The sequence below is a fragment of the Homo sapiens genome, chromosome 21, assembly GCF_000001405.40.
Source record: "Homo sapiens chromosome 21, GRCh38.p14 Primary Assembly".
Lineage (NCBI taxonomy): Eukaryota > Metazoa > Chordata > Mammalia > Primates > Hominidae > Homo > Homo sapiens.
Genome location: NC_000021.9, coordinates 27690419 through 27701350, shown reverse-complemented (window position 1 = coordinate 27701350; position 10932 = coordinate 27690419).

The following is a 10932-nucleotide window of genomic DNA, read 5'->3' as shown; positions in this document are numbered from 1 at the left end:
GCACTTGATGATGTTGAGACACTGATGGAGATGCCTGGGGCATTACAGGGAAATGTACCTCCAGTAATGCCACGTTTTCTTTTCGAGGTTACTTCTGAACAGCTTTAAAGAGGGCGCTGCCTGCCTCATAGTCTGCAGCCTCGTGGTGACCAGTTGGTCACCAGGGGGCAGGCTTGGATCACAAAAGTGTGTCACCGCTCATTTTTCTTCAAGAGAAAGAAGCGTATTGCTCTCGCTATAAAACTGTGGTGCAATTCATTTTTTACAAACCGGATGGTCGATAAAAATAAGTCATTTTGTATTATAACCATGAACTCAAGATATATCATTCATTTAAAAACTACGTTCTATATTTTTGTAAAATAAAAAAATACATTTTATCAATTCCAATTTTGTTTAATTTTACTCATTAAACATTGATACAGGTGAAGAAAATTTTTTTACAGATAGTTTTTGCCCTCTAATATTAACTGTACAAAGCAAAGTATTGTTGTAACAGTAGAAGAATAAACAGAAACTACTGACTAGCATATGGCAAAATTTGGGATCTCAGATCTTTTAAAAATTATTTTATCATTACAAAAGTAATATCTACTTTATTGTTGAAAACAGAAATTACTGAGCTACAAAAAGGAAAAAAATACTAAGCAGGCTTCATTCCAATATTCGAAGGGAACTATTCTAAGATGTTGGTGCATTTTGTTAAGATGTATTTTAGATCAAGATGCCTCTATTTATCAGTTTGTCTTTCTCAAACTTAGAATCAGGCATTGTGTAACCTGCTTCTACTTTTCACTTAATAGCTTATTGTTGACAAGTTTCCTGTCATTTAATACAATTCTACATTATAACCTGTAGCAGCTTTGCATGATATTGTATCAATGTGCATTATTTACATATTCAATACCTTATTTTAAGCTATTTAAAAAGTTATTTCTAATGTTTTGAGTAGCTCCTTTTAAGTGAAAATGAAACAACTTTTCCAAGACTTATGAAACATAATGCATACAGAGTTAACATTTTTCTTTTTAGACGGAGTCTCGCTCTGTCGCCAGGCTGGAGTTCGATGGCATGATCTCGGCTCACTGCAACCTCTGCCTCCTGGGTTCAAGTGATTCTCCTGCCTCAACCTCCCAAGTAGCTGGGACTGCAGGCACATGCCACCACGCCCAGCTTATTTTTGTATTTTTAGTAGAGACGGGGTTTCCCCATGTTGGCCAGGAAACTCTCCAACTCTTGACCTCTTGATCCACCCGCCTCGGCCTCCCAAAGTGCTGGGATTACAGGTGTAAGCCACCGTGCCTGGCCTAGAGTTAACATTTTTCATATTTAGAACCCTTTTTATACATTAAGGAGAACAATGCAGTTTACCTTCAAAGTAAAGATTAATATTATTTTGGTTACATGGATAAGTTATTTAGTGGTGATTTCTGAGATTTTGGTGCACCTGTTACCCAAGCAGCTGTTATCCAATCTTCAAAGTAAAGATTAATATTAGATAAGGATTCCACACTAATTTAATTTATAGCCTTTTGAAGAAAGATGAATTACAATTTAGAAATCATTTTCACACTTATTTTTGCTATTAATCCTATAACTCTCTTTCTTATGTCATTATGTAAAACCGCATTAAATAATCACTTACCAAAAGAAGTCATTTGAAATATGGTTCCTCACTATGACTAAGAATATAATACATTTATCTTATTCCCATTATTTAAGTCATCCTTATTTAATAGCACTTAGCAATACCTTAGTAGAATGCTTTTCCACATTTTTCACTTGCGTGGGCCAATTAAAACCATAATTCTTAGAATAACTCCTAAACACAAACAATTAAAGCTATTGAGGACTATTCAGGTCTTATAAACTGCAACCCTGCTTTCAAGGTGATGTTTGTGCTGATTTGCATTGTACAAATGATTGTAGAATTAACCAGTGCTTACAATCAGTGTGACATTGGGCAAATTGTTCAAAACATCTTAAACCCCATATTCCTTTTCTATAAAGCAGGATTAGACATATCTATCTTTGCAAAGTTACTGTAAATATTTGAAGTGTTTATTTATTACAAACCTGTGTTGCCTGGCCCGCATTAATGGGCTTTGAAAGTAGGGTAGGCATCTGCTGTGTTACAATGGGCTGCTCTGAAGTCTCATCCTCATTCATAGGAGACAAGATGAGCTCTTGCACTTGATATCAGCCCTCTTCCTCCCTGTAAGGATCAAAAGTAAACTCAGGCATTGCGGTGAAGATCATGCCTAGGTTGTCAATTTCAGTGATCATGAGGGGAGCCACAATATGAGTTAAGACATGGCTTTCTGGGCATTTTTGCCTTCATTAGCAGGGGTCAGGGAGGAGTGAGTGCTGGACCTTCATACATTGCTGGTGGGAATGTAAAATGAGTGGTCACATTGGAGTGCAGATTGGCAGTTCTGCAGAATGTTTAACACAGAGTTACCACATGACCCAGCAATTCCAGTCCTAGATATATGCCCCCTCACACACAAAATTAAAAACTTAAATCCACAAGAAAATCTGTGCACAAATGTCCATTTCACCATGGTTCATAATAGTGCAAAGGGCTATTCAGGAAACAACTTTGACCTATCAATGGAAAATGAAAGTATATTACATCCATAAAACTGATTATTATTTGGTAATTAGAAAATGAACTTCTGATACATGCTACAAACCTTGAAAACATGCTAAGTGAATGAAACCAATACAAATTACTAATGCTGTGTGATTCCATTTAATAAGATGTGTGCAGAAAGGGCAAATCTATAGGAACAAAAGATAGATTAGGGTTGGAAATGGGGAGATGGGGAAGGGCAATGGGAAGTGACTGTAAATAGGTTGAGGGTTTCTTTTTTGGGTGATTAAAATGTTCAAAAATTAGGTTGTGGTAATGGTTGCACAATTTTGTGAATATACAAAAACCCATTGAATTGTACACTTTAAATGGATGAATTGTACCATATATAAATTATACCTTGGTAAAGCTGTTTAAGAAAAAGAAGTGTGAGTTGGCCATGCCTTCCTATGCCCAACCCCACACTGAGGGTTTCACCAAAACCCTCCGGTACTGTTTTCAAGACTCAATCTTGTGTTTTCCTTAGGCCTCCCAATTCCCAAGCCACCCTTTACCTTCACACTGTAAGCATTATAACGCTCTGCATGTGTCCTGTTCCCTTCTCTTCCCTCACTCCTCTCCTGCTAATAATCTCTTTACCTTTTGAGGTGCAGGAAGCCTGTTCCCACCTTAGCATTTTCCCTACAGCCCTCAACTTGTGGCTTCTTCCTCTTCCACAGACCTAGTCGGTCTGGAGTTGATGTAGGTGTTCTCTGCTCCTCAATTCTATGTCCAGACCTCTCCCTTTTTGTTCCCTAAAGACTCTCAACCTTGACTCTTATGTCACCAGATGACATGAGTTCAGTACCTCTTCCGTCATTGTCATCCATCAAGGTTGTTCTTTTGGGTTTCTCAGTGATTTAGTTTGTGGCTTGTCTCTCTCCATCACTCTTAATTATTAGTGATCTGAGTAGCTACAAAAATGATCATTTCAACAAGTTTGCCTTCAAATTCTGTTTGTTTTTTTCTTGCAGTAACAACAACAAGCTCAACCATCCATTTTCATGATCATATCCAGACCTCACTGTTCAGTATATTAGCCATTTTTAGCTACATTTGCCTATTGTTCACTTTAAATGTGGCAATCAGAACTGAGACGTGCTGTAAGTATAAAATACACACTGGCTTCCAAAATAATAATGAATAATCATAATGATAATAATAATAATAGGAAATACCTTATTAAGTTTATTCTGATTGCAAATTGTAGTAGTAATATTTTATCTATCCTGAATTAAGTAAAATATGTTAATAAACAAAATTTAGTGTTTCTTTTTATTTTTTTTTAAAGATAGATACTAAAACAGTTTGAATACATGTGTGTCTGACATTATATTTCTATTGGACGGTGCTGCCCCAGGCCTTGGCACCAAGATACCAATAACTACAACTTCATCATTATCCTAGTTTTATGTATCTGGCTCTCTTCTGTATTTTTCAGACATTCCCTCTCATGACTCAACTTTAAGAGTTTTTCAACCCTACTATTATCTGTGATCTATTGATTCTACAATCTTTTCACCTTCACTTATTGCCTCAGTATCCCTTTTTTCTCTTTGCTTCCAGCCTAAACTCCATGGACAATTGTTATAATAAATTCTTTGTGTTATCCTTGTTCTTCTCTCCCATTATCGAACTTACTTGCAAAGTCACAACATTCATTTAACTCAGCTCTTATTTACTATAAGATGTCTAAGTACAGCTGAATATGACTGGATACAACGAATAACCATGTTGATGTCCTCATGCTATTCCTGGAACGTGCAAGGAACACCATGGTCACTCTGCCAGGAATATACTTCTAGATGTCTCCCTGCCTAACTCCTTCATCTTCTTCATGCTTTTGTCCAGATTTACATTTCTTAGTGAAACTTACTCTGATGGCTCTATTTAAAGTTATAATCTTCAATAGCAAAGGCATGGAATCAACCTAACTGCCCATCAATGATAGACTAGATAAAGAAAATGTTGCACATATACACCATGGAATACTATGCAGCCATAAGAAAGAATGAGATTATGTCCTTTGCAGGAACATGGATGGAGCTGGAAACCATTATCCTCAGCAAACTAATGCAGAAACAGAAAACCAAATACTGCATGTTCTCACTTATAAGTGACAGCTGAATGATGAGAACACATGGACATGTAAGAGTCAACAACACACACTGGGCCTATCAGAGGGTCAGGGTGAGTGGAAGAAGAGTATCAGGAAAAATAGTTAATGGATGCTGGGCTTAACATCTAGGTGATGGGATAATCTGCACGGCAAAGCCATGGCACATGTCCACCTATGTAACACACCTGCACATGTACCCCAAACTTAAAATAAAAGTTGGAAATAAAAAATAAATTCATTAAAATTAAAATTAAAAATCAATAAGAAGTTGTGTTCCTCACTTCTCTACAATCTCCTCAATTCTCCTTAACCTTCTCTGATTTCTTTTCTCTCCTCTCCTCTGCCTTGCTTTACAATATTTTCCCTTCAGCAAGGCAAAATATACTCATTTATAACTGTCTTAAATGTAACTTTCTGCTTTAATGTAATCTCCAGAAGGGCATGAATCTTGTTTTGTTCACTTAAGTAACAAAATTTCTGGAACTACCGGAGTATAGGCTCTTCAGAAATATTAATAGAATAAATGAGTTAATTAATAAAATTTTTTAATGTAAAATTAATGTTCATTTCATCAAACTTCATATATATTTAAAATAATATATACCTATTTCAACACAGTTTCTCCACTTTTTAACTATTTGCATTAGGATGATAAGCAAAAAATTGTACACTAAAAAAATTCTTCTTGAACTCACAGGTAAGCACATTGGCTGGGGGATTTGGGAACACTGGCAAAACCACACATAAACAAAAACAAAATTACACACCACACATGAATTATAAAGTATTTCTATATGGTTAAGCAATAATAGGCCAAAGATATATTTTCAATGTGTTAATATATATTCAATAAATTGATTAGAAAGAAAAATGCTTTATGGCTTTCAAAACTAAGTAGCTAAAAAAAATACAAGATTTTCAGTTGGAAATTTTAAGGTGTCTACAATCACAATTGTAACTTTGGGGAAGAAGAGAAAGAGAGAGAAAGCAAAGAAAGAAAGAACAGGAAAGGAAGAGCGAGAGAAGGAGAGGAGAAGGAGAGAAAGAGAAGAAAGGAAAAAGAAAGGGAAAGAAAGAAAAGAAAGAAAGAAAGAGGGAGAGAGGAAGGCAGGCAAGAAAGAAAGACAAGAAAGCAAGAAGGAAAGAAGGAAGGAAAAGAGAAAGAAAGAAAGAAAAAAAAGAGAGAGGAAGGGAGGGAGGGAGAGAGGAAGGGAGGGAGGGAGGAAGGAAGGAAGGAAGGAGAGAAAGACAAGAAAGCAAGAAAGCAAGAAGGAAGGAAGGAAGGAAAAGAGAAAGAAAGAAAAGGAAAGGAAAGAGAGAGGAAGGAAGGGAGGGAGGGAGGAAGGAAGGAAGGAAGGAAGGACGGACGAGAGCTTCATAAAAATTTTCTGGTTTTAAAGTTATTTTATTTTTCTTAAAAATTTCTTTAAATAAATAGTCTGTTAGAGGTATTAATGTGTGTCACTCTTGCTTGGAATGAGGTTTATAAAGGGCACATGTTATTGTGTTTCTCTTCTGGGTAAAATTCTCTGATGATTCTCAGTTTCTGCAGGATAGAATCTTTGCCTGACACCGGGGTCCTTAGGTCGGATCCCTGCCTAGGTCTACAGCCTCATCTCCATTCACATTCCACTCCTCTTAGGCAGTGCATGTTTTATCTCTAAGTTCTTCCCAGCATCATCCTGGGAACTTTGAGTTTCACCAATTTTCCCTGGTGGAGAAACACCGTAAATGGGAATGCCGTGCAGACCTGAGATTATGTGACTCTACCATCAAGACTCAAAGGAGCTTTATTTGAAATAAAGGAGCTAGTGGTTGTGTGGGTGTAAATTAGATGATGTAATCTGTCAGCTCAGTTATTTTTATTCACCACTCTCTTAACACATTTCAGTTTTAAGGGGGGGAGTGGGTTCAACTATGTAAAGTCATTGCTTTTATTTTAGCCAATTCAGAATAGTAGACTTCTAAATCGGGAAAGATCTCAGAAGACTTTTTTTCTTTATAATTGAGATATTTGCTATTTGTGTTCTTTGGGTGGAAAAAATGATTTAATGACGCATTTTTATTTAAAAAAGTGCCATTTTATCTGTATAAGAGGAAGATGTGATTGAAGTGTTATTTTAACACTCCTTCTATTAAAATTATAAAAACATTATATAATATGCTTTTAAAAAGTAGTGAATAAATGTGGTTGTTATATGAACACAAATATGTAGGCAATCAGCATGTCATGAGAATTATTAAATAAATTAAAATATTTGCAATATAATTTACATAATTCAGCAGTTGTATGTTAATCACGTAGTTGTCAGAAATAACTTCATTTTTTAACTTTTGTTTGATGTTTAAGCTTTTGTTAGTCTAATTATTTTCACACTTTTCTTTCAATATTTCTAACTTCATAAATATTGATAAGTAAATTAAAATCAAATCCTCACATCTAGAAACTGCTGATAATTCAAACAAAATTATTTTTTTCACAAAAAAGTGTTTTAAAATGTCATTAACTCAGTTAAAAAATAGAACTACCAAGTTAGTTTATAAAATATGAATTAATATAATTATAAAAGTATAGTCTATGTCTTTATTTTTATTTTAGAGACTAATACCTTTTGTGTTATTAAATATAATTTCTGTTTTTTGCAATATCTCTGAACTCTCATGTCCCCCAGCAGCATACCCATCCCCCAACACCTACAAACAATGACAATAACCCTTTCCTGTACTCCAGTGAATTCGATGCCTTCGTAACACTAACTGATATCAAAGGAACAGGATTCCTCAAGTTGATCATGGTAGAAAAAAATTAGTTGAAAATTTAGGCACAAAAAATTCAAAACAGTTTCATCAGAATGTTTTTGTTTTCACTTCTTCGGGTACATAAGTGTCCCCTGTTCATTTTCAGTAATATCCACCAAACCAACGGCATCTCCTCTAAGTGAGGTCACCGCAGAAATCAAAAAACACACTACTAGCTTGTGAGGACTTGTCTGGATGGTTTTATTAGCAGGATGTGTCACTACCAACCCTTGGTCTGATGTGAAATTGAGTTTCGAAATGACACATATTTCCTGGATTCTCCAGTTAACCAGAGATTTCTTTCGGGCTTTCCCTTTTTTTTTCTCCCTTAGGCATCTGTAGAAGAAAGAAAAAAGCAAAGTACTCCAAAAGACTTAAAGAAGCAGAATCAATTGTCTAATTTTATTCGAAAGGTTTTCTCTCTGCTGTTCTCACTATCTCCAATAAGGTCTGCCCAGTTCTCCTAGTAAGGAAAACTGGCTGACAAATAGTGGGCCAGGGAAGAGCATTGGAAGGCCACCAAATGTTAGTTATTGCTCCAGGCGAGAAAGGCTAGCAGCGGTCTCAGCTGTAGCGGTATAAAGGAACAAGTGATGGGGATGGTTGGATGGTAACAGACCTATGGGACAATGGAAATATTAAACTGCTGGTAGACAATGATAAAATAAAACATTGTTATCTCTCTATGGTCAGAGAAAGAAGAGCTAAAAGGTTAATTACGGTCTCTTTGAGGGATGAATATGTATATGAAAATTACATAACTGTGGTCTATTGTCATATTTTTATGATTTTGTGACTTTTACTTATCTAAAAGGGGAATAGTTTGAAGCCAGACTTCTAAACGGTGAGTTCCTGATTTTTGCACTTTGAAGGAAATCAAAGTAGGCACCTGTTCACAAGGTAGCCATATGAATCCTTCCTTTCCCATTAGGATACTTTCTTTATCAGCATTACTTCTGCAGTAGGTCTTACTGCTACATTTACAAGTTTCTGGAATGAGGGTGGTATTCATGTAATTGAGCCAGTCTAATCCTTTTGGATTGATTTTTAAAAGCAATAAGCTTTTAAAGTCATGAAGGATTTATGAATCCTTCCTTTCTCATTAGGATACCTTATTTCTATTGAAACGTTATTTCAGAATAGCATGCCTCTCCTCATTTTCCCCAGCATCATCATACACACTCACATGCAAAGTGCTGCAACTTTAGTGGAGCAATAGAATAGAGAGCTACATGTGTGCTAAACTGCTTAGACAGAAGAGAAATTATTTGTACAGACAAGAGGCAGAGAGAAAGCCAACATCAGGACCATTTTCTGCCTCGGTAATCTACTCAGGTTACTTTATGCCTAAAGACAACGCCCAGGAGAGCAAACTGAAGCTCCAGCATGGATTCACTGGAGCCCCTGGTGACATGGACATGAAAGAAAAATGTAATTACTCAATCAGAAATTATATACTGGAAAATTCTGAAAAAAAACTGGCAAGTAAAAACAATGAAAAGCTGTTTATTTTACAGCTTTTTCTATATGCCCAATTAATGTGCTCGTAAAGGTAAGTGACACCTCTGCGTGATTGTCCAAAATGTATATTAAATTACTAGGTCATAGATTACACCTGTAGTGAGTCTTATTGCTAACCCTACAAGTTGCTGGAATGAAGGTGGTATTCATATAATTGAGCCAGTCTAATCTTTTTGGATTGATTTTTAAAAGCAATAGGAAATTAAAACATAATTATTTGTTGAAAAATTTTGAAAAAATTACAATGGCTAGAAATAAAGGAGAAGCATCACGTTTTTAGTCTTACTACCTTTGTAGGTGGGATATAACAAAATTTAAATAATATTTATCCACTTCATTAAGTTATTTATTGGTAACAAATTAGCACTGATGAGAAAGTTTTATGAACTCTTTATTCCTTAATAAGAGGTGACTCACTAGGTGTAAAAACAAATAATTAATTAACACCCACATACTACCACCCAGTTATAGTGAAAATTACAACGGTCCCTCTCATTTTTTCAAATTTTTCCCTACACTGGAAGGAAATTCCATGCATTGACTTGAAGATGAGTGTTATTCTAAAGAAAATTCTCAAGACAAATGCCAAGGAATCCTTTTGCAATTACTCTTTTCTTTTTCAATTTGCTTTTCAAGGGAACATCTGCCCTTACACCTCCCTCCACTTGTGATTCTAGAAATTAAGGATATATGATCAAACAATGTTTTGGAAAATAAGATAATTCTCAGGAGTCTATGATTACATAGTATGATAAGCTGTCTAGTAAATCTATCAGGATGAATTTCTTTGGAAATTTCCATGAAAACCTAAAATATGAAGTAATGGCATTAGCATACCCTTTAAATAAGTATTTCCTCACTTGTTAATTTCATTAAATGTTATATTCTCTGTGTGTTGAATTTATCTACTTTCTAACAGATTTGATATGTACTACAGTTAGGATTCTAAGTCCTGTGTCTGGGAAGACACCAAATGGTTAAGGGGGCTTGAATTTTTGTGAATCACTAGTACAAGGCTAGGATTCATCTTTCAGATGAAAAATGCATCGTTGTGTGTTTCACACATCATCTAACACAGTGTTTGAGATTGTATCACAGGCTTTGTATCAGCTATCTGACATCAATGACTTATTTCTTCTTTAATTAAAAGTAAGCACATATTGCAAGTATTAAAGTGCTAAAACTTGAATATTTCTTCAATGTACATATTGTGAAGGTCATTTGCTGAAAAGCAGTCACTTGGTACTTAATAGCATTGCTTTAGTAATTACATACACTCATTAAAGGACATTTTGCCATTTTCATAACTTTGAGTTAGGAGTTCTGGGCAGGGCTGTTCTTGCAAGCTACAGGTCACAAAGATCCCACAGATAAACAGGATGCTTTAAAGAAGCCAGCCAAAACCCACCAAAACAAAGATGACAAGAAAAGTGACCACTGATTGTCCTACCTGCTTGTTATACGCTAATTATAATGTAATAGCACGCTAAAAGGCACTTCCACCAGTACCATGACTGTTTACAAATGCCTTGGAAGTGTTCAAAAGTTATTCCATATGGTCTGAAAGGAGGAGGAACCCTCTGTTCTGGCCACTAGCCCCTTTCCTGGAAAACCAATGAATAATCCACTCCTTGTTTAGTGTATAATGAAGAAATAACCATAAAATAGACAACTAGCAGCCTTTGGGGCTGCTTGATCTATGGAACAGCCAACGTTTTATTGCTTTACTTTCATAATAAACTTGATTTCACTTTATTGTTGGCTCCCTCTTGAATTCCTTCCTGTGCCAAAAACCCACGTGATCTTCCAGGCTGAGCCCCAATTTTGAGCTTCACCCTGTGACAACTTGATGTGTTTA